Genomic DNA, 27,912 nt, shown 5'->3' with positions numbered 1-27,912 from the left:
ATATAAGTTTCCAGAGCCAGCAAAACATAATTACCTCAAATATACCATGGCCAAAGTACTAATTGTATGAAAAGATGTCACTAAGTCAATACCCTAAAACTTAAAGGGAGAGACACTCTTTTATACATTTGTACATTTATATATAATTCTACCCATCTCGATTATGGCTTCTCAGCTCCAGTAATGAAAAGGCACTGTAAGAAATGAGGCCGCTGGACTTAATTATGTTCAAACACCAGCACCAGCACCATCTGACTCTGCCTCATACCCTTGGGGGGGTCCAGCATTGCTAGTGCATAATGTCACAGTTGGTCATAATGATGACCCTGGCGCATCAAGAAAAGGGTATACTTTGTTTAGGAAAACATTTTAAGGGGACAAAGAAGTATATGACATTTAGATTCCCATGCGTAGAGGTTAAAGTGAAAAAGTTCTGAAGTTTACACACAACTTTTCATTGTATCTTTCTGATTCTGAGCTTAGAAACTTTGAGAATTAATGAGATAATATGACCCTGTGAGGTAAATTTTTCCCCTATTTTCAGAGGAGTGTTAGGAATGGAAAACCTATCAAGTACCAAGAAAACCACTGATTCCAGGTCCCTTTCATACTAGTGTTTTTCCCACTACAGTTATGTTTGGTTATATCTATTGGAAAACAGCTTCTCAAGCTTACCTCTTTATGAGGCCCTAAGGCAGCTCAGTGCGTTTCGATGTTACTGATTCTAGAGATGTTCTGATAAAAGGTTTTTAAATGCCAATATTGAATAACTAGGGTCGAGAACGAAAACTCCATTAGGTCAGTTTTATTCCTTGATCAACTTTATTACTCATTTGGAGTGCTCCAATTTTCTTTCATTTTGTTTTCACCGAAATTTTAAAGAAAATATTCAATTTAAATAGATTTAATCATGTCATATTTTATTAATTATAGCTCTGCCTTCTGAATTGCCTTTGGTTGCTATTACTTCTACCATAGCTAATTCTCCTGTGTTAAATTTTGCAGATCTAGATTTCATCAAAGTTTTTGTATCACTCTGGTCACTAAAAAGTTTTGTGTGATGTGTTAGCCATGGTCAATTTTCGTTTATGGTATTTCTACCGGTAATATACATTATGAACTGGACAAAAGCCCTATTTATTTACAAATGTACAGTTTTGTCAGCATGAATAAAGCATCTACCTTTCCTTTACTGCCTTTATCCCCATTCCCGAGAGTGCCCCTCAGATCCCACATAAAATGCATATCAGCATATTTACTGAGATCATTTTTCACGACAACAGGATGAGGAACTTAAGGGCGAGACTTTTAATCATCTATCCCTTGTGCTTTACGCAGACCCTACAATACACTAGAGGCTTCAAAGAGGTCAAAAATTCACATGTGTAGACAAATTAGGTCCCTTAAGATGCCAGGCAAACGAAGTGCTACCAAAACACGCAATGACTGTCCTAAAAGTGCGTTCTGGGATACACCTGTAAACTTGGATCAAGTTCCCTCCCCTCTCCTCAAAATATATCGACTTGTGCTGAAAGAAATCACGACCGATGCTCACAATTCTGACCTCGTAATTATATAGGGGGTGGTTTTGGTTTCTGCGTCTTTCCCTGATTCAGTGGCAGGTAACATATTTCATGTACAAAATGAACTGCAACACCACGGCAAACAAGGGACAGGCCCTCAAAGTTGTCGGTAGGGAGCCAGGACCCCGCCAGTGGCGTGGGGAGACACCGTACTAAACAAGCTTGCAAACAGCAGGCACCTTCCTGCCACTGAGGAGGAAGGGCTGGCTAAGGGAGGCCGGGGCGGAGGAAGCCAAGCTCTGCAGGCCCTGACAAAGTCCTCCCGGCCTCCACGCGTCGCCATGGCAACGCGGGGTCTGTGCTGGCCGGGATTGGCCGGCCTGGCGCGCGCAGGGCCCGCTGGGAAAGCGCGTCCCCGCCGCGGCTCCGCCAGTTTGAACTTGGCGGGCCAGATGTGGGCGGCGGGGCGCTGGGGGCCTACTTTTCCCTCTTCCTACGCCGGTTTCTCTGCTGACTGCAGACCCAGGTCTCGGCCCTCCTCGGACTCCTGCTCAGTCCCTATGACGGGCGCACGTGGGCAGGGGCTGGAGGTGGTGCGCTCGCCGTCGCCGCCGCTGCCGCTGAGCTGCAGCAATTCCACCAGGTCGCTGTTGTCTCCCCTTGGCCACCAGAGCTTCCAGTTTGACGAGGACGACGGTGACGGGGAGGATGAGGAAGACGTGGATGATGAGGAAGACGTGGATGAAGATGCCCATGATTCAGAGGCCAAAGTGGCGAGCCTGAGAGGAATGGAGTTACAGGGGTGCGCCAGGTAAACCCGAGGCCGCCCGGCCGATTCAGCCCTTTTCAAGATTCCTTAGACCCTCTTAAGTACCCCCTTCTAACATCCTCCTGCCCTCCGCCCCAAAGGCAGAGCAGGCACTTGCAGACTGAGGTGCCGTGGTTTTTTTTGCACATAAAGAGCCCTGTGCAAATTCTTGCAAATGACCATAGATTTCCTATGGCTCTTAATCCTTTTTTCCTGAGATATTATGATTGCTGCAGTCTCACTTCCCAGAAAAATGTACATAGTCTCAAACACACAAAACTCTGCTACCATTTCAGGCGTTCTATGAATCCTCAAAAGCCAGATTGTGCACTGCAGAACTCTTATCCCAAACCTGAACACCAGAACGTGGTTTACTGCACCTTAGTAGTACCTGTGGTTGGTTATTCTGAAAACATACTGATTGCTAGTGAAGTAGGTTGTAGTAAACAGGTCACTTTTTATAACATAAAGTGCTGAAGCACAGAGATTAGCAATGTCAACCTCAGCATGTGGAGACGTGGTTAGAGAGGATCTGAGCATGCACAGAGGAATGGATGTCATTGTATCAATGTTAGGACCAATGGGGTTATTAAAACTGTCTTAATTTGTTTATTTCTACTGTTACTCACTCAGCAAACATTGTTTGCCACATATTAGTCTACGTACTGGGGACCGTAAACAAGATACTGGTCTCTACTCTCATGAATTGAAGCCTAAATCAATCCACTTATTTTACAGATAATAAAACCATGGCTCAGAATGCAAAAAGTGACTCAAAGGCATGCACCTAGTTATTAGCAGACCTGGGTCTACTACGAAGATAGACAGATCATGTTCTCTTTCCTAAACTGCATGCCTAGTATTGGGTATACAGAAGTAGGAGCAAAGGGCCAATCCCTGAAGGAATATTTCTGAGACAGGCCCAGTAATGCAGGTCTATTCTGGGATAGACTCATTACGTTTTCTTCGGAAATCATTTACAAGTTTATGATTGTCAAGCTGTGTAAGGCACAGTACAGGAGCTCTAAGAAATACAGGCCAGAGAACTCATGCTTTATGTGTAAATAGCAAGATTCCCCCTTCAGTACAGGGTGTTCATATCCAGCATGAGTGAATGGAATATGGAACCCATATGAAGTAACCCGTATACATGGTTACAGGAGTGAATTAGTTACGAATGAGAAGTAAAAGTAAGTACATTGGTGGGAATGGAGATCAGAAAGAGTAACCAAGCAAGCCACTCATCCAGGCTGGTTGTAGCAACAAGAAACAGGCCTCCTCTGATCAACCTGATAGTAAAATTTAATGGTAGAGTTAGGGTTTCAGTAAATTGTTTTCATCTGGGCCTTTGTAGGTATTCTTCAGGACTGAGTTGGTCTCAAAGGTATTTAAAGTAAATTTGAAGGCTTTAGGAAATACTTTCTGAGCATAATCAACTGGACTAAGCAATCTGGACACAAGTTAGTGACCTGCGGAATAAATGACCATCGGAACTATAGCTCAGCTACTGAAACCTTGCATTAGTTTCCAAGAGCCAAAGCCCTGACTAAGTGGAGCCTGCCAGGGGAGGAGGTGAACGTATGTACGTCTCACTTATCCAAAGCCAGAATGAGCTGGTAGCACCACAGGGCTAAGGCTGCCTTCCTTATCACATTTCAGTCCCTATGAATCAAAGGAGTAGCTGGGACGTGGGTTTGAAAAGAGAATGCTGAAGTTGTCAAGCATTGTGTGTGGCAAGTGTCAGATGCTTATTAGGTGCTCAATAAACGTTTGCTGACTGCATGTCCATTTCCCACTTCCTAAAGAACAGATACATGCAGTGATTATTGTCAAATGCTTCAGAAACTTAGCACTTCCTTTCAGGAAAGGTAGATTTTTAGAAAATTTCCTCATTCTTTCTCTCCATTGGTCCTAACATTCTTTGATACAATGACATCCATTCCTCTGTGCATGCTCAGATCCTATCTAACCATGTCTCCACATGCTGAGGTTGACATTGCTAATCTCTGTGCTTCAGCACTTTGTGTTATAAAAAGTGACCTGTTTACTACAACCTACTTCACTAGCAATCAGTATGTTTTCAGAATAACCAACCACAGGTACTACTAAGGTGCAGTAAACCACGTTCTGGTGTTCAGGTTTGGGATAAGAGTTCTGGAGTCCACAATCTGGCTTTTGAGGTCAAACTGCTGACCTCTCTTTGGTGCCCTGGACAGCTTGGGGGTGACAGGATGAAGAGAGCAGGCAACCTGAGTCAGCCCTTTCATTGTTCTGGGTTTTGAGTATTCTGTGTGAAGCAGAGAGCAACCTAGAGCTGTGTGGGATTTTATGCCTTTTCTCCATGCCTCACCTGCCATATTGATCTGACTGGCAAAACGAATCGGGTAAGGCTTCTTTGAGCTAGGCTCAGGCATCAGCTGCACATAATGGATATTACCTCAAGGTATTTTTGGTATAAATAGTGCCATGTTTAGAGGATGCATTGACCTTCAAGGGTATTGGTCAGAACTGAGATTAAGCTCAAAGTTAGCTTCAGACAAGATAATGAGAAGCGTTTTCCTGGAATATTTTACAATGTGCTCTGGGCCTGCTGTTTATTCAGCTTTATCCTGGTTTTTCTACCACTATCCATTAGGAAAACCATGCTGTAATAAATATCTTGTTCACAAATGGCCACTTGTCAAGCCTTTCTTGATTATAAGTAGAGCTGTAGTGTGTGCGCCACACATTTTGAACACATTTGTTATAAATATTAAGGAAGGAAATTTAATATTCAAAGTGTCATTTCTTAAAAGAAAAGCCCACTGATCTGATTGTCTTTCAACAACTGTTTCCTAGGACCCTACTATATTCTAGACCCTAAGCCAGGCTCTTGAAATAAAAAAATGAGTTGAGATATATTTTCTTTAAGGAACTCATGACCTGTGGCAGAGATGAGCAAGTGACAGGAAGCCCAAGAGTTGTGGCTCCAGGCAGTGCTGGAGTTGAATTTTGAAGGGACAGTAGGAGTTCGTCATAAATGACTTACTAAGTACTTACTGAGTGCCTGGAACTATATTAAGTGCTTTAGCATGGATAGTTTCATGCAATTCTGCCTGTAAGGTAGCCAGCCACAACTGTCATCTCCATTTTATAGACAAGAAAACAGAAGCTTAAAGAAGTTTTTTAAAAAATGTACATAGCTTAGCTGGGCGTAGTGGCGGGCGTCTCTAATCTCAGCTACTCGGGAGGCTGAGGCAGGAGAATGGTGTGAACCAGGGAGGCGGAGCTTGCAGTGAGCGGAGATCGCGCCACTGCACTCCAGCCTAGACGACAGAGGGAGACACCGTCTCAAAAAAAAGAAAAAAAAAAGAAAAAAAATGTACATAGCTAGGAAGAAGCAGATAGGATTTCACCCCAGGCTGTTTTACGCCCAAATCTAAGCTCTTAATCTGACTTTATGCGGAGGTGGAAGAAAGGAATTTCAGATTTAGGTGAAAGTTACAGGGCATGGGGCGTGGCACATTCATCAACCTGCAGGGGTTCCTAGTGAGTGAAATGTAGAGTCTGGATCAGCCGTTGGTGAAAGAAGAGGCTGGAAGATAGGCAAAGGGCAGATTCATGGGTGTCAGGCTAAGGAGTTTGGATTTTATCCTGTGGGTAAAGATGCCATTGAAGAACTTTAAGATGAGGAGTGACATGATAGAAAGATAACATTTGAGGGATGAATCTGGCAAGAGGTGTGGATAATGATTTGAAAGGGAGAAAGGGAGGCCAGTTTTGTCCAGATGGTGGTTGTAAGGTTGGAGGAAACAAGAATGGCTTTCAAAAATGGAAAGAGGAATTAACATGACTAGGTGATCATGTGGGTATGGGAGGTGGTGGCGGTGGGGGGGGGGGGTCCACATGTTGACAAGGAGCAGGTGGAGTCAAAGAGCTAGGGCTTCTGGCTTGAGTAACTGGCTGGAGGGTGATAACATTCACTGACGTAGGATTGTAAGAGGAGTATACTTTCTTGGTGGGAAGGGTGGTGGGTGGATGGTAGAGGATGATTAGATTTGTTTTCAACTGATTGATATTTAAGTTGAGTTATGTATCACATAGTTGGAAATAAGGATCTGGAACTCAAGATGACGGTCTGGCCTGGAATTACTGATATAGACATCATCAGCATGTAGTGGTAGTTGAAACTGCACTACAGTGGGGGCAGATGGGTTCCTTCTGCAAGACTGGGAAGGAAAGACGCATATAAGAAATAACACATCAACAGTGTCTCTTTCCCACTAGAATGCAAATTTCATAAGGGCATGAATGAATGAAGAAATAATAGTAGCAGAAAATAATGAGTAAGCTGAATCTATGAAGTAGAAAAGTTGTGCAAAGCAGTGGGTGAAGCAATTGGTTGCTATAAGCAGGAATGTGAAAGAGACAAAGAACTGAGTCTGTAATAAACTAGTCTTTAGAGCTACCTTATGTCCTGAACAACCTTGCTTTCTATGGCTGCTGATTGTTAAGCTTTTTCTCAGTTTCATGAGGCTTGTGTATCTGGCCAAGACCCTGTGTTCTTTATTTATGTATATACTTATTTCCCTGCCCCTCTTCTCTTTACCCTGAATTGTTATTTTTCCTTACCCTCAGAAGAGACAGACTGACAGAGGTGCATGGTGGAGATGGAGACTATGGTAGGAGGTAACCAGACTAGAGAGTCATACACACCCTGTCTAAGGATTGGCAAAAGGGTGTCAACCAAAATGTTAAAGAATGTTTTGTGGCTTCTTATTTCAAAACAATTTCAAACTTATAAAAAAGGTGAAATAATATAAAGAACTTTCATTTACCCTTCACCCACAGTCCCTAATTGTTACATGTTTGCTCTATTATTCTCTTTGTGTGCACTACATAATCTTTTTTTCCTGAACTACTTAAGGGCGGGAAAGGGAAGAGTCTGCTTCAGTATCTGATTAGGATTATATGTTGTAATGAGTAATTAGTTATCCAGGTAAGATTTTTAGAAATAAAAAAGTGTTGGCATTGAGGCAAATGTATAGGGTGTGGGTTATCCCAATGGGGTTTTAAATAACGTGGTTTTAGAAGGTGAAGGAATTCAAAGGCAGTTTGATAGGTAAACTAATTCAAATATTAGAATTTCTTTTCATGATTTTTTAAATGTATACTTATGTATAATTCCTGTATATTTGTAAAAATCACAATATTGAAAATACACTATTAAGTTTTGCTTTTACTGTACAGTTAAGTGATTTGGACTAGGAAGCAAAAGAGGTTCTTGTACAAGTACTATAGTAGCCTCTCTTTTGTAGCACTCAGGTTGAATCAGAAAATAACCAAGAAGAACAGAAACAGGTGCGCTTACCAGAAAGCCGCCTGACACCATGGGAGGTGTGGTTTATTGGCAAAGAAAAAGAAGAACGTGACCGGCTGCAACTGAAAGCTCTAGAGGTAAAACTAGACAGTGTTCTTTTTATTTAATCTGTGAGCTCACAAAGTAGAGCTGCAGTTGTAAATTAAAATGTTAATGTTATTATTCCTGAAAACAAAGTCTTTGCATTTATGTTAGTTTACTATATCAAATTTAATAACTAATAAGTTATAATAATAGAAATATGTTCATTGTTAGAGCATTTGGAAAATACAGCTAAGCATAATTAAGAAAATTAAAATCTCTTCTAATTTCACTGTCTGAAGATAATCATTGTTAGTATTATGACATAGCTTTCCAGATTTTCTTCTATGTAAATTATTTTGAAATACGTACAAATGTATGTATAAGTTGTATGTCTACATACACTGGAGCATCAACATATGTACATTTAACTAAAGTAAATTCAACTGTATACACTCGGCAAAATTTTTAACTTTACTGAAACAAAATAGAGGCAAGAATCTACCTGCCCCCCCCCACCACCCCCAACCCCACCCCACCCCACCACCCCCAACCCCACCCCACCCCACCACCCCCAACCCCACCCCACCCCACCGTGTGTCACTCAGTGAGCATGTGCCCTATGTGCTGGGCGGTGGGAAACTGCTTGCTAGTCTTTCAGGGTGTTTCAGTTTCTCTGTGCCTCCCTCACTTATGGACATTTCCATGCGTGAGTCTCTTTTGAACTTTTACTATATGAACTCAAAAAATAAATAGTTGTAGATGCATTTTCACATCTCTTCTTTAATGAGAATATTCACATATTTTTTGAACTCTTACTGTTTCAGAACATGGCAACCAAATAGATTTGGATAATTTGGCATCCCCTAAACCCACTATCTAGACTATCTGAATTCTTCCTATCCAAACACTGAAGCCAGATAGATTTGAATGATGAGGGACACTTCTTCTTTTTAATGAAACAGGATAAAACTCTTTTTCTCTATCATTAAACATTTTTATAACATTTAAAAATGGCTGTCTAATATTATTTAAATATATTTAAAATGTATTACATATTTGTTAAAATATAGTTATCTGTTTCACTCTTGTTGGATGTTTCAGTCTATTAGTAACTGTTGCTAAAAAAAAATCCTGGGAATTGGCCGGGCATGGCGGCTCACACCTGTAATGCCAGCACTTTGGGAGGCCGAGGCAGGTGGATCACCTGAGGTTGGGAGTTTGAGACCAGCCTGACCAACATGGAGAGACCATCTGTACTAAAAATACAAAATTATCTGGGCGTGGTGGTGCATGCCTGTAATCCCAGCTACTCAGGAGGCTGAGGCAGGAGAACCACTTGAACCCAGGAGGCGGAGGTTGTGGTGAGCTGAGATCACACCATTGTACTCCAGCCTGGCCAACAAGAGCAAAACTCTGTCTAAAAAAAAAAAAAAAAAAAAAAAAAAAATCCTGGGAACAAAAGCTTCATGATCTTCCTTAGAATAACTTTTCTGTTAGTTTTGAAACCAGTTATTATTTGATAAGTTTCTAACCAGGCAAGCAGTCACATGTCCCAGAGGCTTGGCATAATTCAAATGATTATGAAAACTAATACATTCTGCTGTTTTCCTATTGTATGATACTTTGTATTCTAGATTACAAATTTATTCCTGGAAAAGTGCGCTGTGAGAGTGGCACTTATTTCCTCTTGACAGTACACAGGGCTTGAGAAAGACCTTACGGTTGATGTTAGGCAAGAATAATAAAAACCCTGGTTCTTTTTATTTGCTGGGTGTAAGCAAGTTATTGAAACTTTTATGTTTCTATTTTCTCGTCTGCTTAAGAGGAATAAAATAATACCTGTGTCACAGGGGTTTTGTGAGGATTAAATGTAACAAAGTATAAAGATGCCTGGCTTTGTTTTTATTTGTATTGTTATTTATATCATTACTATTCATAGTCTTCTTAAAGCTTTTTCATTTATTTTCAGAATTGGGGTGTATTTTTGAATTCCCAGACTTACTTCTCTTACCTCAATGACTAAGTCCATTATTTAGTTAGTAGCTTTTAAGAATATTTGTTCATAGTGAGCACTCTATTTTTTTATGTTATAAAAACACATACCTACATATATCTCTCTATATATATGTATTTATACATATGTATGTGAAATAGCATCTTAATTTTGTGCAAAACCTGGTATTCTATTCTTTTTTCAAAAGGCTGGTCATAATTCATTAAATTGGTTTTAAACTTACAATTCGGAAAATACTGATCCTGTGAGTTAATGGTAGAACAAAATTCAATTTCTGGTATTGGGCTTTATCTACAGTCTCACAAGAAGTTACTTGTTATATTAAGAAAAGGAGGGTCACTTCCAGTCATTTTTAGTCAGTGTACAGAGAGAAGTTAATTGAATTTCAGAAAGTTAGTAAAGCCCGGGCTTGGTAGTCACACAGAACAAGGCTGAAATTTTAGCCTTGCCATTCTAATTCTGTGACATTAGAAAAGTTAATTAACTTCTCTGAGCCTCAGTTTCTTCATCTATAAGCCAGATGTTAGAGAGACAATAGTGGAGTAGTTAAAAGTGTAAATTCTGGGTTTTGTTTTCGTTTTTTGAGACAGGGTCTCACTCTGTCACCCTTGCTGGAGTGTAGTGGCGTGATCACAGCTCACTGCAGCTTTGACCTCCCCTCCTCTTCCACTTCAGCTTCCTGAGTAGCTGGGACTGTAGGCACACGCTACCACGCCTGGCTAATTTTTGTTTTTATTGTTGTTTGTTGGGGTGGGGGTGGGGGGGTTGCCATGTTGCCCAGGCTGGCCTCCAACTCCTGGGCTCAAGTGACACCTCCCAAAGTGCTGGGGTTACAGGTGTGAGCCACGGTGCCTGGTTTAAAACCATAAATTCTTGAGCCATACTTCCTGCATTCAAAATTTGGACTTTGGGCAAATCCTTAACCTTTCTGTGTCTCAATTTCCTTATCAGTGAAAGGGGGAGGATAATATTTGCTTCATAGTGTTGTTATGAGGACTAAATGAACATCAGGATATGGACTAATATGTACAAAGCACTCAAAGTTATTATATGTGAAAGGAGATCATAATAACTGCTATGAAGATTTGTTTTGAGAACAGATTAAAATAATAAATATAAACCCTATCACAATGATAAGCATGTAGCAGGGTATAATTATTTGTAATTTGGTTCAAAGATTAAAACCTTTTTATATATTTAGTAGTTTGACATTTCTTATGGCTACTTTATTACTCAACTCTGAAGTGATTCAGTTTTAGCATGACTCTTACATATCAGTTATGCCAGGGATATCCTAACATATAGGCCAACTACTCAGCTTGTTGTAAGCTCATGTTGAGCTCTTGTGGTATTCACATTCTTTCACTGCCTTTTCCTTTATTTTGTTTTTATCTCATGTTTTCCTTATTTTTCTGTATTTACTGTATCCCTAATTTGTTTATAAACCATATCAAATTTTTAACCATAAAGAATAGTCATCTCAGATCCCTATTAAAACTAAAAAGCATGAAAGGCAGAAAAGTAATTTTGCCAAGGCTTCGTCCATGGCAGAACTGGGACTGGCACCTAATTCTTTGACTTCCATTTAAATGCTTTTCCCACAATATCAAGATGTATTTTAGAAATAAGTGAGTCAGACTTAGTATTTATTTTTTAATGAACTCTGGCTTTCGTATTTTCTTCCTTTAAGATTTAAGAGAACATTTGTAGGATAATTTAATCATTAAAAAGATCATCCACACTCATAAATTTGATTTGAGCATCAGACATTTGGTTTGTTTCAGACATCTCTGTGGGACTAAGTTAAAAAATTATTTTAATTCATAAAAATTACCCACTTACAAAATGGTATACATTTGTAACTTTTGTTGAGATGATAAATATGGTAAATATTGAATCAATTATCAAGCATTATGAAAAACTAGTATATTGGTTTTATAGGTCATTTAATTTTTATTTACTTTTTAATTATTATAAATAATTATTTAGCCAACTGCTCCAGGTTCTCTATGGTCATTGGCTGATTCTAATTCTTAATATTTGCTTTAATATTATAATCAGTTGTAAATTATAAAAATTACCTAGTTTGTGAGTAGTCCTGGTGCCTTCTTTTTTCTTTTTTTTTTTAACCATCTTGCCTTTGGCCATTTTATTCATTAGCCCTTAATGAGCCCTTAACGAACGAATAGGGCAGGATATAGAGCTGTTGGTGAAACTCAAAACTGTCAGTTTTTCTGATTATTATTACCTTCAGTGGTAAAAAATTATTTGAAAGTAGGCAAAACCTATTAAAATAAAAATGCATGTTTAAGATCTTCTTTGGATTTTGGTTTTCCATAATCAAGTGTTGTATTCCACGGGAAAATATTAATAGCTATCTGTAATCCTGTTGAAATTCAGTGGTATACCAGAAGACCATGTAGGGGCCTTTCGAAGGAAGACTCCAGCTGTGTCCTGAAGGAGACTGGCCTTTGTGGTAAACATGGAGTCATTCAGGGTGGGAAATTCTAAGAAGGGCCAGACTTGGAAGGGAGGGTTGTGTCTCAAAATGTGATGTATATTCTGGTTTGACAAATTACTTGAACAGACATCCAAGATTAGAACACTGTTTGGGTTATTGGTAGCATTTTCTAGATACATTTTGACCCTTTTTCTTTAACCCTTCAATCAACATTAACTAAAATTTGTTAGCCATCAAATAGGAGTACAGGGTTTCTTTTTTTCTGATTTTTTAGTTTAGGTAAATGAAGAATCTTAAAAGGTACATAAATATATAGTCAATCATGTCTTTAGTTATACATTTAAATAATTACTTTTCTTGAAAATAAAATTTGGGACTATTTTGGAAAATTTTTGATATGTAGTTGTCAGGTCTATATCTAGCCAATTAATTAATGTCTTTCATATTTATATATTTGTATATATACACACATGCACATATAAACATACATATATACACATGTATTTGTATGTGTACATGTATATATATGTATAATTTTTCCCCCTTTTGTTTCCTAAGTCCAAACCCTCTTTTCCTTTTCCTTTTCCTTTTTTTTTTTGAGATGGAGTCTCACTTTGTCACCCAGGCTGGAGTACAGTGGTATGATTTCAGCTCACTGAAACCTCTGCCTCCCAGGTTCAGGCGAGTCTCCGGCCTCAGCCTCCCCAGTAGCTGGAATTACAGGCGCCTGCCACCACACCTGGCTAATTTTTGTATTTTTAGTAAAGACAGGGTTTTACGATTTTGCCCAGGCTGGTCTCGAACCCTTGACCTCAAGTGATCCATCCGCTTCAGCTTCCCAAAGTGCTGGGATTACAGGCATGAGCCACTGCGCCTGGCCCAGAGGCCCAGGCCTTCTTTTTCTTATAACTCATATACTATGGCACACTCTTCGTCAGTCTTCCTCAGAATAGTTCTCATCCCTTCAAATGCAGTCTTCAGCCTTTGTCATTAAGAGCTCTGAATTTTCCCTTTTGCCGGGTATTCTTGTTTCATATAGTTCACTTTACTTTGCCTGTCTCAAAAGACCTTCTCCATCTACCTAGTACCACGCTCAAATTTTCTACCCCCTCCCACCTCCCAATCTCTCTCCTTTCGAAGCCATCTTTTCACTGTTCCTTGTATGGTGCTCATTTCTGACTAGCCTGGTAGACTAGGCTAGGGGGAAGGAAAGATGTTTCTCCTCATCTTCCCTTCCCTTCTCTGAACTTTTATGATATGCAATAACTCGCAATGTAGCACTTATTTCTTTAGTGTATAGAAAATCAGATCAGAGACTTCTGGGATTTCATCTTTATATCAGATTTATATCAGTTATTGCTAGGTCCATAGTAGGTGTACCATAAAAGTATACTGAGTAAGTCATCAAAGAACAATAGCTGCTGAAGTGATGAAAAATCCTTAAAGATGGATATTTGCTTTTGGGGGTATAGTGTTTAAAAGTTGGAAGACTTCCTGAGTGAGGGCGGCTATCTTCTATGCAGCAGAATTTTAGGATGAGTGATTATGGAAGACAGATTTCCTGTGACCAGTTGTTTAAAATGCAAAAGAGATGTTCTTGGTGTCAAGTTTTATCTTCATTTAAGACACTGGAATTAGTCTGAGGGTTGGAAAATTGTCTTTCCCACTACCACCCATGCCCAAGTAGGTAGGTCTTTGGGAAAGAAAGGGCTATGGAGGAGTGTGGAGACCAACAGAAGATACGTAAGGTATCTGACTATTAGTATCTAAAGACGGAGAAGAAAAATAACCAGTAATTATGGTTGTGGAGTCCTAGTGAAGTCTAGTTTGAACAGCATTCTAAACCAATGCAGTAATTTAACTGATGAGTGACAGAGTGGTGGCATTCAACTTGTAGTTTTATTTGGCCATACCTTTCACATTCTTTTTCCTGAGGAAATGCCCAAACGTGTAGATTCGAGTGACAGCAAGGCAGTTAAATAATCTGGGATATGAATGTGATTTTGTTTTACACTTCAGCAGCTATAAAACCAGTGAAGAAAACTCTGGGTTCTTTTTTCCCTAAGGAAAATTGAATGGTTTCTTTGTATTTCTTTTGTGTAACTGAATTAAATTTTTAATATAGGGATTATTTAATTTCTATGCTTTATCTTCATCAGGAATCCAGAAGCTTCTTATAACTGTTTAAAAAAAAAAGTTGCAATTCTCTTGAGCTTCTGCCAGTAGCTTAGAGTGATGCCAAAATTTATGTGTGGGAAAGTTGATTTCAATGAGGGTAATTTAGCTGAAGTTTAGTCTAGGAAACTAGTGTTTTGCTGCCAAGCAATTATTTGCACATTTCTAAAAAATGACTTATACTTTTACCAATGCTTTTTTTCATCATAGACTGGTTACTTAAGTAAGTTATTGCCACTAGTGGCATATGCTCCATAAAGGAAACTATATTCTTGTTTAATTTGGTTAATAACCTCAGACTTTTAAAATGTATGTTATTTGGGTACTTCTATTAAATGTTGCCTTTTGTCTAAATAAAATCCACAGGAATTAAATCAACAACTAGAAAAAAGAAAAGAAATGGAAGAACGTGAAAAAAGAAAGATAATTGCTGAAGAAAAGCACAAGGAATGGGTTCAGAAAAAGAATGAGCAAGTAAGGAGGGGAAAATGGATACACACATTGACATCTCTTTTGCAAAATATTTCTTCCTATTATACTTCATTACCTAGGTTTTAAAAAATACTTCTCTTAGAGTCTTTCTTCTTTGGCTTGTTTTGTTTTTCTATCCTGGTGGACATTTATCAAGTCTCTATCTTCTGCCCTTTGCCCTCTACTTTTCTCCTTTTTCCCTCCTGTGGCTTGCACTAATATTTGCCTGCAGGCAGTCACCAAGTCTGTATTTCTAGGCCTGACCTTTTGGATCCTTATGGCAAGTGCCTCCAAGTCTGCAAATCTAAAACAACCCATTTTGCCCATTTCTCCTTCGTAAATCCATCCTCCCATTTCTCTGTTTCATTCAGCTGTCTTCTCGGTCATCAAGGCTTAATTAGAATTCTTCTGTTGTTCCTAATCATCTCCTCCTTTTCTTTACAATTACTACTCCCCTGTTTGTGATCTCTTTCCATTATATCTTTCAACTTGTTGTTTACTTCTTATACTGGATTGTAAGCTACATAAGGGCAGGGATTTTTGCCTCTTTTGTTCAGTTTTCCAGGAGCTAGATGAATACCTGCGCATGATATATGTCCAAAAATAGTTTAATTGAGTGAAGATGTTCATTGAATGGCTGCATTTTTTCCTTTTAATTTTAATATATTCTTCTATGGATCACACACATTCGAAATTTTAAAAATACTTATTCTGTGGTCAATTTGTCTTCTGTTGTGATTTTTACATATTTAGAGTGGTACTGCTTTTATTATTATAATCCAGTTTTACAAATGTGGAAAAATGTTTAAATTGTAGGACAATATTTTAAATTTTAATTCTAACTTTTTATCTTTATTGTTGAATCTAATGCCTAATGGTATTAATAAGAGTACTAAGTAAATAATTTCAGTAAATTGAAGATGATATAACCTTCTTCATCCAAGTATTATAAGAAGGAAATTGGTTAGATGTATGTGTGTTATAACCATATTTGTTTAGAAGTCAATTACTTTGTTTTTTTAAAAAAGTTTACTTCATCCCATGATATAACATGAAAGAGATCTTTGTGAATAAATTCAAAAATCAAAATAAATCTCTGTGACTGTTATAAAACTTTGGGTAATATCTTTTTGAAATTTGTAACTATAAAACAAAATTATTTTACACATGCAGAATAGTTTGCTCTTTCCTCTAAAAGTCCTTCTTATCTTCTAACTCCATTAAGCTAATTTTACCATGCCAATCAAACCTAGTTGTTGTTTGTCTAGGAATGTAAGATACTTCTGGGAGACAATATATTCACTGTTTTAATTAGTGGCAGTAGACCTAATCCAATTATTTGAAGAAAAAAAAAATTATTTCTTTTGGAGGGAAGTGGCTTGCCCTGACATAAATCACTAGTTATTGAAGGCAAAATTCCGTAATGTTGAGAATTATTTAAAAATAAAACTGAGACGTTATATTTACCTGTTCTGCAGAACTCTTGTTCATGTTAAGGAATAATTGATTATTCTTTTTTTTTTTTTTTTTTCTTTAAGACCTATCAGATTTCTTCTTTCAGACATAGTTACATTTACCTCTATTTGTAAAGACTGCTCTCCTGGTTCTTCTCTTCCTGTCTGGCATCTAGCTTTTTTCTCCTCTGTTTACATTTCATGGTGTGTGGTCCTCAGCTGCCTCCAGCTTCATTCACATTTTAGCTGTATCTGTGGCTGCTATTTTCTCTAAGTCATATTCACTGTGTTTTATCAAAAAATCAGACACAAAGAATTTATGCATTCATTAGCAAAGCTAGTTTCTTATAATATGACTGTAAATTCTTAAGTGCTTTTAAAATAAATGTTCTATCTCATCTGGTACTCCTAACATTTGTGTTGCCGTGGTAATTTATTTTCTGGATGTGTTTATTACAGTGTTATCACATATTTTGTAAAAGGTCCTTTACTTTTAATGTTTTTAAAAATTATTTAAAAATAAAATCGTTTTTCGTTCTCAAAACACAACTGATTTTCTAATGTAAGACATTAATTCAGATCAACAAGGTATATGATGGATAACACTGTTATCATTGCATTATTCATGCTTTCAACAAATATTTACTCAGCTTTTACTGTGTGCGAGGCACTATTGGAGAAAGCAAAACAGAAATCCAGAAACTTTAAGTAGCCAATTGTTATGTTAGTTTCCTTTAGTTGTATGAAACAAAGGTTCTCTCGGTGCAGCGTCTTTAAAAAAGGAAGATTTATTGTTGTGCTCTGTGTGGTGTAGAACTAGCGTGCCAGAAAATCTGAAGCCACTTAGTGGCTGGTTCCTCTCTCGGTAGTAGTGACTGCTCTGAGTGCCTGTTGTGTCTTCCTTTTGCTAACTAAAGGCATTCTGTTCACACTTCTTTAGTTTAAATCCTACAGAAGTCTGTCTGATTTTTTTTCAGAATTAATTCTATTGAGCTGTAGTTTGCATACAATAAAATACAACTATTTTAAGTTTGATGACTTTGGCAAATTTAGGTACCCATGTAACCATCACCATTAAAGATACAGAACATTTCCATCACCCCAGAGAGTTTCCTTTTGCCCCTTTGCATTCACCCCCACTCCCTGCCCCCAGCCAGCCTCAGCTCCAAGGAAACCATTAATCTGCTTTCTGTACTTGTAGATTAGAGTTGCCTTTTCTATAATTTCATATAAATGGAATGATAGAATATATAGTCTTTTGTGTTGGTCTTTTGTTTTAAAACTTATCCTGATATTTCATGTATTATTCCTTTTTATTGCTGACTATAGTATTCTATGAAATACATTTCATAGAATATGTTTATCTGTTTCATTCAATTTCATAGAAATTGTTTATCTGTTCACTAGTTGATGGACAATTGAGTTGTTTTCAGTTTGGGATATTATGAATAAAATTCTGTGACCACTCATGTACAAGTCTTTTTGTGGACACTTGTTTTCATTTCTCTTGTGTGAATGCCTAGGAACTAAATTACTGGGCTATATGGTAAGTATGTGTTTAACTTTATAAGAAATTGCCAAACATTTGTCTAAAGTACATGTACCATTTTACATCTCCACTACTATTATAATAAGAAAGTTCCAGTTGCTCCACATCTTTGGCAGATTTGGTATGGCCAATCTTTTTCATTTTAAGTCCTTCTAGTGAGTGTGGAGTGGTATGCCATTGTTTTAATTTTCATTTCCCTGAGATCTGATGATGTTTAGCGTATTTTCATAAGCTTATTATATTAGTCTTCTAGAGCTTCCATAACAAAATACCACAAATTGGGTGGTTTAAACAACAGAAATATATCTTTACTCACAGTTCTGGAGACTGGAAATCAAGATAAAGGCATCTGTAGGTTTGGTTTCTCCTGTGGCCTCTCTCCACGGCTGTCTTTTTATGTCCCCACAGGGCTTTTCTCTGTTCACATATATCCCTGGTGTCTCTTCCTCTTCTTGTAAGGACACCAGTCCTATTGAATTAGGGTCCTACCCTTATGACCTCATTTAAACTTGATTACCTCTTTAAAGATGCAATCTCCAAATACAGTCACATTGAGGATTAGGGATTCAACATAGGAATTTGGGAGAGGGGCAGGAATACAATTCAGTCCATAACATATATTGACCATTTCTACATCTCTTTTGTTGTTGGCTTGTTTTGTGTTGTTGGCTTGTTTTGTGTTGTGTTAAGTCATTTGCCCATTTTTGAAGGGGTTGTATGGCTTATTATTAAGATATGAGAATTTGTATATTCAGACTATAAGTCTCTTCTCAGATATATGTATTGCAAATATTTCTTCCCATTTAACTTTTCCTTTTTTCCTTCCTTCCTTCCTTCCTTCCTTCCTTCCTTCCTTCTTTCCTCTGTCTTCCCTCCCTTCCTTCCTCCCCTCCCCTCCCTCCCCTCCTGTTTCCCTCTCTTCTGTCTCTTTTTTTTTGAGTCAGAGTCTCACTCTGTTGACCAGGCTGGAGTGCAGTGGCATGATCTTGGCTCACCGCACCTCTGCCTCCCGGGCTCAAGCAATTCTCGTGCCTCAGCCTCCTGAGGAGCTGGGATTATAGGAGTATACCACCACACCTGGCTAATTTTTGTATTTTTAGTAGAGATGGGGTTTCACCATGTTGGCCAGGCTGGTCATGAAATCCCCATTTAATTTTTCTTAATGGTATTTTTTTTTTCACTAACAAGAAGAAGCACTGATTAATGGTATTTTTTAAAGAGAAGTTTTAAATTTTGATGAATTTCCATATTTCAGTTTTTTTAATTGTTGGTAGTTTTTGTATTCTATTTAAGAAATGGCCATCAGAGAAATGCAAATCAAAACCACAATGAGATACCATCTCACACCAGTTAGAATGGCAATCATTAAAAAGTCAGGAAACAACAGGTGCTGGAGAGGATGTGGAGAAATAGGAACACTTTTACACTGTTGGTGGGACTGTAAACTAGTTCAACCATTGTGGAAGTCAGTGTGGCAATTCCTCAGGGATCTAGAACCAGAAATACCATTTGACCCAGCCATCCCATTACTGGGTATATACCCAAAGGATTATAAATCATGCTGCTATAAAGACACATGCATGTGTATGTTTATTGCGGCACTATTCACAATAGCAAAGACTTGGAACCAACCCAAATGTCCAACAATGATAGACTGGATTAAGAAAATGTGGCACATATACACCATGGAATACTATGCAGCCATAAAAAATGATGAGTTCATGTCCTTTGTAGGGACATGGATGAAGCTGGAAACCATCATTCTCAGCAAACTGTCGCAAGGACAAAAAACCAAACATCGCATGTTCTCACTCATAGGTGGGAACTGAACAATGAGAACACATGGACACAGGAAGGGGAACATCACACACCGGGGCCTGTTGTGGGGTGGGTGGAGTGGTGAGGGATAGCATTAGGATATATACCTAATGCTAAATGAAGAGTTAATGGGTGCAGCACACCAACATGGCACATGTATACATATGTAACAAACCTGCACGTTGTGCACATGTACCCTAAAACTTAAAATATAATAATAATAAAATTAAAAAAAAATGTTTGCCCACCACAAGAGGGTAAAAATACTCTCCACTGTTTTCTTCCAGAAGCTTTATAGCTTTAGCTTTACCTGTATGTCTATTTGAGTTTAATTTTAATGTATAGTATGCATTAACGGTCAAGATTCATTTGTTTGCATGTGGATATCCAATTGTCCTAACAATATTGACAAGATAATCTTTTCCCTATTAAACTACCTTTGGCACCTTTGTTTAAAATCAATTGACCACATATTTATAGGTCTGTTTCTGGATTCTAGTCTATTCTATTGATTTATATCCTGTGCAGTACCACACTAACTTGTTAGTATAGTTTTATAGTTCTGAATTTTATTATTCTTGAAATCAGATAGTGTAAATCCTCCAGGTCTTCAATTCTTTTTCAAACTTGTTTTAGTTGCCCTGCATCTTTCCATATACAGTTTAGAATCATCTTATCAATTTCCCTAATAATGCCTGTCCTAATAGTGCTTGGCACTATTGGGATTCTGCTAAATATAAACACATAGATCATTTTGGAGAAAATTCCTATCTTAATAATATCAAATTTTAAATCTATAAACATGGTTTTTCTTTCCAGTTATTTATGTCTTCTTTAATTTCTCTTAGCAGTGTTTTTTAGTTTTCAATGTATAGCAGTATTTTGTTAAATATATTTCTCAGTATTTCATGTTTTTGCTGATGAGGGCAGTTATCTTGCCTTGTTCCTGATATATAATATATATTTTATATATTTACACGTATGTACAACACAGGTTTATAGCATATATGTAATGTACACATGTTTATAACATGTAACAATGCGTATAACACAAGTAACATGTTATAGCATATATGTAACACACATGTTTATAATATATAGCATACATGTTTGTAACATGCAGCATGCATGTGTTTATAACATGCAGCATGCATGTGTTTATAACATATACATATGTTTATAACATATATATGTTTTTTTCCCAGCCACACTCATATGGAACGTTTCTGATATCACCTTGTAATTTCCATGCCTGGTTTTGATGTCAGAATAATGCTGGACTCTTAAAATGAGCTTTGATATGTTTACTTTTTCTCTGTGTTCTAAAATCATTTTTTTAAGGTTTGATACTATTAAGATATGCCACAATAATATTTTATGTTATTAAAATATGGAGTATCTTTAACTGTAATGGAATCAACTAGTGAAGCTTTCAGTGACTGGAGTTTTTGTAGGAAAGTTTTTAATTTTGAATTGTTTTTATAAGTAGAGGATTATTCAGACACTACTTTTTCTCGAATTCATTTTGGGAAGTGGCATATTTTAAGGAATTTTGACATTTCATTTAAAATATTGAATTTATTGGCATAAAATTGGTTTTAACATTCTCCCATTTTGATTTCTGTATGATGTCTGTGTGATCTGTCACTCACCGTCTCTATGACCTTAGGCAAATTAGCCTCCATGTGCCTTAGTTTCCTCCTTTGTAAAATGGGATAATAATGGTATCTACCTCACATCATGATTATAAGAATTGAGAGTGTGTACAAATAAAGTATGTAGAATGGTAACAGGCATAGTTAGCACTCAATAAATGTCAGCTGCTATAATTAAAAACAATGTAAGAACTGGTTGATTTCTTATAGGTAAAGTTGTGGAGGACAGTCATGAGTCACATGGAGATTAAGCAAGATGTACTCCAAGGTCCTTTTCAATTTGTAGATCTTCTGACAGTTTGAAGTAGTTAAAATCCAGTATTGTTCCAATGGCTATTGAGTTCTCAGCATGAAAAGATTCTGTTTCACAGCTATTGGCTGCCCAGCAAGAAGGAAATACAGCAACTTTGATACAACTTGGGGAATTACTTGAGCTTTGATTTTTTTTTTTTTTTTTGAGACGGAGTCTTGCTCTGTCTCCCAGGCTGGAGTTCAATGGCACGATCTCGGCTAACTGCAACCTCCGCCTCCTGGGTTCAAGCAATTCTCCTGCCTCAGCCTCCCAAGTAGTTGGGATTACAGGCGTATGCCACCACGCCCAACTAATTTTTTGTATTTTTAGTAGAGACGGGGTTTCACCACGTTGGCCAGCCTGGTCTCGAACTCCTGACCTCAGGTGATCCACCTGCCTTGGCCCCGCAAAGTGCTGGGATTACAGGCATGAACGACCATGCCCATCCTGAGCTTTGATTTTTAAGACCTGTCTTTCCTGCACAGCCCTGGACATATCTTGTCTATAACTGATGTTTGTTGGTTGAGTCTTCATTGAATTGCTTATATTAATGTATTCTATAAGCTGCTTTCAAGGGAAGAATTTCTTTTCTTGGCTCATAATTATTTGCCTGGGTGATATGTATGGCATTTGTATTGCATATACTTTTTATGCCTTCCAGATTTGTTTCCAAACCTTTGATAAAGAAGACTGGCTATGTCATTGGTTATTTAGAATTTAGCTGTGTTGGTAGATTATCATTTAAATAAGGAGGAAAAAATATTGAGTTATAGTCTGTGTCAAGGATCAATATTTTTTTTTCTATAAAGGGCCAGTTAATGAATATTTTAAACTTTTGGGGTCATGCAGTCTCCGTTGCAGCCATTCAGCTTTGCTGTCGTAGTGCAAAAGCAACTATAAACAATAAATATGTAAACAAATGAGTGTGGCCACATTCCTATAAAACTTCATTTACAAATACAGGTGATGGTAGATCAGATGTGATTGTCAGTGCTTAGTTTGCCACCCTTTGTTCTATGGAAGAATTATATAGCCAGAGATTTGCCTGGATGTGCCCTTACATACAGTGTTTAATGAGCATTATTCACTTCTCCTCTCTTAATTCACTGATGGCAAAGATTTATGCAAATATTAATATTGACAAACTGTCCTGGAAATATGTGTGTGTGTATATATAAAAATATATATACATATATATTTACATATACATATATATACATATATTTATATATAAATGTGTGTGTGTGTGTATATATATATATATATATATATATAGCCCCTGTTTTAGAATGAGAGTAAGCATCCATTAAAAAATACTAAGATTCAGACAATCTAACAGATTGTAATTTTTACTCACTATCATTTATTCAACAAATTTTGATTGAACACTGTATTAGTCTGTTTTCATGCTGCTAATAAAGACATACCTGAGACTGGGAAATTTACAAAAGAAAGAAGTTTAATTGGACTTACACTTCCATGTGGCTGGGGAAGCCTAATAATCATGGCAGAAGGCAAGGAGGAGCAAGTCACGTCTTACATGGATGGCAGCAGGCAAAGAGAGAGAGCTTGTGCAGGGGAACTCCTTTTTTAAAAAACCATCAGATCTTGCAAGACTTATTCACCATCATGAGAACAGCATGGGAAAGAATTGCCCCTATGATCCAGTTACCTCCCACCAGGTCCCTCAAAGATGATATTTGGGTGGAGACACAGCCAAACCATATCAAACACCTGCTTTTCACTCAGTACTGCCCCAGGCTCTGAGTGGACATTGGTGAGCAAGATCTTTGTCACTGACCTCATGAAACTTATAGCCCAGCAGGTAGACTGACATTGTACTGTTAATTGCAGGTATGTTATATATTTTCATAAACCATGTTGTGCCAACTGCCATGATATCATGTCTATTTTTAAAAATAATTGAAGTTTAGAAAATTGCTGAATGCAGCAGTCTTTCCTTAGATGAGTATAATTACTGGTATTACAATTAAACTTTATCTATTTTTATTTAAGAAAAGAAAAGAAAGAGAACAAAAAATTAATAAAGAAATGGAGGAAAAAGCAGCAAAGGAACTGGAGAAAGAATACTTGCAAGAAAAAGCAAAAGAAAAATATCAAGAATGGTTAAAGAAAAAAAATGCTGAAGAATGTGAGAGGAAGAAGAAAGAAAAGGTATTTTTATTAAAGTGACCAGTTAGAATACATAACTTTGGTGTTCATATGTGTCAACTATATCTTAGAAAAAGTATCTAATAGAAAATTGGCACTATCTTAGCATAAAATAAACACAAGAAGCTATCCTGTTACGCTGTGTTTAAACTTCAAAAATGAATATGCATTTGTAGTTTTCTTAAGTTGAGAAATAGTAAGCCTGTTGATATTTTTTCAGTCAGGTTTAAAACTGGTTGCTGTTACTCCTTTTAAATATTTTTCAGTGCATTTTATGGGAAGTCTTACTGCCATTTTATAAATTACTATTCTTTGAAAACAGCAAATACTTTTTTCTTTGTGGGTTTGATGTCTTATTGTTTTTCAGAGCCAGACACCTTAATGTATGTCCATGATCATGTTCAATATTCTACTCATATTATAAAAATATGATTCAGTATTATGGCCAGTAAGCCATTGGGGTAGGAAGCTACTGGAGAAAAAAAAATCAGTAGAATTTGAATGGAATGTATAGTTACAGAATATCCCTGGAAATATTTTGGTCTTGTCATTTTAAGGAAAAAGAAAAACAACAGCAAGCTGAAATACAGGAGAAAAAGGAAATAGCAGAAAAAAAGTTTCAAGAATGGTTGGAAAATGCGAAACATAAACCTCGTCCAGCTGCAAAGAGCTATGGTTATGCCAATGGAAAACTTACAGGTTGGTTTTTATGTTGTGTGGCTTACATAAATATGGTTTGCAGAAGCAAATATTATACTCCTTTTGACAGAAATAGAAATGTGTAAAAATTATTTTTCTTTCAAATTACTATTTTCCAGAAGATTATATTATAAACATGTCATGTTCCTATGGAGATGCTACAAATGTACTGTCATTCTCCACATTTGTATTTCTTAAAAGCAGTAGTTACAAAACTGCAAACTTATTCTTTAAAGTAGTGATTTGTAACATTAAGAAATGAATAATGTTCTCTTACATTTTTTCAGTGATAAAGCCTTAATCAGGATATATTTTAAGGGGTCGTTTTGCCTCCTCTCCTTCTAACCCTCTCTAAGGCAGAGCTTCCCATGTCCTTGGCACATTCTTTGTGTGAGGTAGAATACTAGACAGCACATGAACCAGACACAAAACCGATTGGCCTTTAGTCTTGGTCTGATTATAAAGGGTAGTGCATGTTTTTCTTTGTGCTTCATGTTGGAAGCTCATACCTTGCTGACAGCTGCCTTCACTTGTTTAAGTGATTTATTATTAAAATACTCCCATTCTGTTTTGTTCACACAATAGAACATATTCCAGACTTTGTTTTGACCATCTTGGTGAAGTGAGTGTTGGCATATCTATGCCAAGTGGGTTGCCAGTGTCTGAAAGACACATTCCTGCTGTCAGGATTAGGCCTCTCTCATATGTCACGAAGGTCATCTGTTTTAGCTACTGAGCATGTCCCGCTCCTTCTTTTTGTTTCTTGCTTGAAAAAAAGAGTAATAAGCAGTGGCTTTAACCCAGTAATTGGGTAGTAAAGTTAAAAGTTTAGGTGGGAATACTAAACATATTGACTAGAAGTTAACTGCTAAAATAATGGATTGTTTTATTAATTTTTTGCATTTTTAATGAGTTTAATTCTAACAAACAGCATATTTGTCTGCAAATGCTGTACTTAAGTTTCTTTATTCTTTATGCTCATATCATTTTTATAAATTATGAAATAAAGGAATTTTTGTGTCAGTAGTGACTGAAGGATTTGGAGATGATATGTAAAATGTTCTTCCTTCAAATGTGTTTATTAGATGGCAGACATCACAATACTTTAAACACTTCATATACATTAGCAAAAGAATGCTCCGTAACTCATAATCACAATTACAGTGATATTGTGAAATCTTATTGACACTGATTCAGAATTTCTGTGATTCTAAACAAGAACCTTGATTTACTATAACTTCATATGAAAAATAAATGTTTTTCTGTAAACTTCAGTATCTGACAAGAGGAAGCTAGTACACAATCAGTAGTTTCCCAGACTGAGTTAAGAAAATGAAAGTTTTGTTGAATTTAAGGATCATAAAATTAATTTCTTAGTAAAAATTTTATAGGAGTTTGATTTACATAGGTTTTAACACTAATGTTATTTGGATTCTTAGAATTATCATTTATGCTTTAATTTTAACTAAATATTTACTGTATTTGGAAAGTGTTACTTATTTGAAAATATCAAGGAGTTTAAGTTTCAAATAAGTCACATTGGCTTATTAGTGATAATTTGTCCATTTGACATTTTAACATTTTTCTAGAAGTTTTAAGTGGCTTCTTTGATGTCAAGAAAGTTTTTCCTTGTTTTGATCTGATTTTTCAATAATTTTAGGTTTTTACAGTGGAAATTCCTATCCAGAACCAGCCTTTTATAATCCAATTCCGTGGAAACCAATTCATATGCCACCTCCCAAAGAAGCTAAGGATCTATCAGGAAGGAAGAGTAAAAGACCTGTGATAAGTCAGCCACACAAGTCATCATCTCTGGTAATTCATAAAGCCAGGAGCAATCTTTGCCTTGGAACTCTGTGCAGAATACAAAGATAGCGTATGTGGAAAATAACATGCTTTTATCTGGAGCTATTTAATTTAAAAATCAGAAATTGTTTTTTACTGCTCAGTCAATAACTCAACACTTAATGTGATTATTGACAAATAGCAATTTTTGCATTTGTATATGGAGTCCTTAGAGTTGAGGAAGATATTTTCTGGATTTTGGTTTTTATAAACTTTTTAAGGTTGATCTTGGCATGTTGTTTTGCAGAATAAGTGGCTGAATATGTAAGAATTGTGTTTGTATTTAGCTTGTATTAAAAGTACACTGTAATACCAATAAAACTAACAATTTTTCTTGTATTGTTTTATATTGTTACTAGTTTACATTTATGAACATAAGATTAATTTGTTCAAAACAAGCACCTCTAAACTGCATGCTTGAGTAACCCTTAGAAGAATTTAAAGCAAAAAAAAGGAAATAGAAAAAAAGTTTAAGGGATGGTGGGTTAGAATTTAAGTGGGTTAGCACCCTAGAGTAATCAAAAACAGTCTTTGCTGATGGGTTTTGGCATATTTTTCCCTGTGTAAATATTTTAATTTTATTTATATTACATTAATTTATTTATTTTGAGACAGGGTCTCCCTCTGGCTCTGTTGCCCAGGCTGGAGTGTAATGGCATGATCATAGCTTACTGTAACCTTGAACTCGTGGGCTCAAATGATCCTCTTACCTCAGCCTCCTGAGTAGCTGGAATCACAGGAGCATGCCACCAGGTACAGCTAATTTTTTTTTTTTCTTTTGGCACAGATGGGGTCTTCCTATGTTGCCCAGCCTCGGATATTTTTAAATTAATAACTGAAGGCATGTTTGGTTACAAATAAATCAGGGTTGGGGTTTCCAAAGGAAATTTTTTTATTTTTTTATTTGTTATTTATTTTTATTTTTGAGATGGAGTCTCGCTCTGTTGCACAGGCTGGAGTGTAGTGGTGCAATCTTGGCTCACTGCAATCTCTGCCTCTCAGGTTCAAGCGATTCTCCTGCCCCAGCCTCCTGAGTAGCTGGGACTACAGGGGCACGCCACCACGCCCAGCCAATTTTTGTATTTTTAATAGAGACGGGGTTTCACCACGTTGGCCAGGATGGTCTCGATCTCTTGACCTTGTGATCTGTCCACCTCGGTCTCCCAAAGTGCTGGGATTACAGGCGTGAGCCACCGCGCTGGCCTCCGAAGGAAAATTTTAAAACATTGTTTTATACGCTGGCTGGGTGTGGTGGTTCATGCCTGTACTCTCAACTCTGAGGGAGGCAGAGGCGGGAGCATAGCTTGAGCCCAGGAATTCAAGACCTGCCTGAGCCATATAGTGAGACCCCATTCTCCACAAAAATGAAAAAACAAAAGACAAAGCCATTGTTTTGTACTCTGATCTTAGATTAACGTGTAGTAATCTTGAGACACGGATAATATTTTGCCACACTGTAAAAATACATAAACATTAATTATAATTAGGTTGCTAGTTTCAAAATTAGGATTACTGCATTATTTTTTAATATTAAAAATGTTGAATGTTAAGCGATATTTTACTGAGGTAGAAATCACAGATCTTATTAATAAA

General features: G+C 37.0%; 1 protein-coding gene across 2 annotated transcripts, besides 4 other annotated features; it reads left to right on the top strand.

Moving 5' to 3' along the window:
• Nucleotides 1,529-1,698: an enhancer, noted in NCBI's record as "active region_4543". NCBI's record gives its function as "activates an Ori minimal core promoter by ATAC-STARR-seq in GM12878 lymphoblastoid cells {active_cell/tissue: GM12878}" and the evidence as "EXISTENCE:reporter gene assay evidence [ECO:0000049][PMID:35858748]".
• Nucleotides 1,694-2,561: an enhancer, noted in NCBI's record as "H3K27ac-H3K4me1 hESC enhancer chr11:27384156-27385023 (GRCh37/hg19 assembly coordinates)". NCBI's record gives its function as "activates a minimal SCP1, AML or CMV promoter by ChIP-STARR-seq in naive H9 embryonic stem cells {active_cell/tissue: H9 hESC(naive)}" and the evidence as "EXISTENCE:reporter gene assay evidence [ECO:0000049][PMID:30033119]".
• Nucleotides 1,939-2,008: a silencer, noted in NCBI's record as "silent region_3208". NCBI's record gives its function as "represses an Ori minimal core promoter by ATAC-STARR-seq in GM12878 lymphoblastoid cells {active_cell/tissue: GM12878}" and the evidence as "EXISTENCE:reporter gene assay evidence [ECO:0000049][PMID:35858748]".
• CCDC34 (coiled-coil domain containing 34) lies at nucleotides 1,955-26,658 on the top strand. 2 transcript variants are annotated; one of them, NM_030771.2, is made up of 6 exons: nucleotides 1,955-2,334; nucleotides 7,629-7,767; nucleotides 14,731-14,838; nucleotides 23,620-23,778; nucleotides 24,333-24,474; nucleotides 26,135-26,658. In NM_030771.2, exons 1-6 carry the CDS (start codon nucleotides 1,976-1,978, stop codon nucleotides 26,347-26,349), a joined length of 1,122 nt encoding a protein of 373 aa, NP_110398.1. In that variant the 5' UTR covers nucleotides 1,955-1,975; the 3' UTR covers nucleotides 26,350-26,658. The 2 variants fall into 2 exon arrangements, with proteins under 2 accessions (NP_110398.1, NP_542385.1); NM_080654.3 differs by lacking the exons at nucleotides 23,620-23,778; nucleotides 24,333-24,474; nucleotides 26,135-26,658 and having other exon boundaries at nucleotides 14,731-16,301.
• Nucleotides 3,854-4,148: a silencer, noted in NCBI's record as "tiled region #11938; HepG2 Repressive non-DNase unmatched - State 6:EnhF". NCBI's record gives its function as "represses a minimal TATA promoter and a strong SV40 promoter by Sharpr-MPRA in HepG2 cells {active_cell/tissue: HepG2}" and the evidence as "EXISTENCE:reporter gene assay evidence [ECO:0000049][PMID:27701403]".
• Nucleotides 26,659-27,912: the final 1,254 nt, after the last annotated feature.

The sequence above is a fragment of the Homo sapiens genome, chromosome 11 (genome assembly GCF_000001405.40).
Source record: "Homo sapiens chromosome 11, GRCh38.p14 Primary Assembly".
NCBI lineage: Eukaryota > Metazoa > Chordata > Mammalia > Primates > Hominidae > Homo > Homo sapiens.
This window is presented reverse-complemented; position numbering and strand designations above follow the sequence as displayed.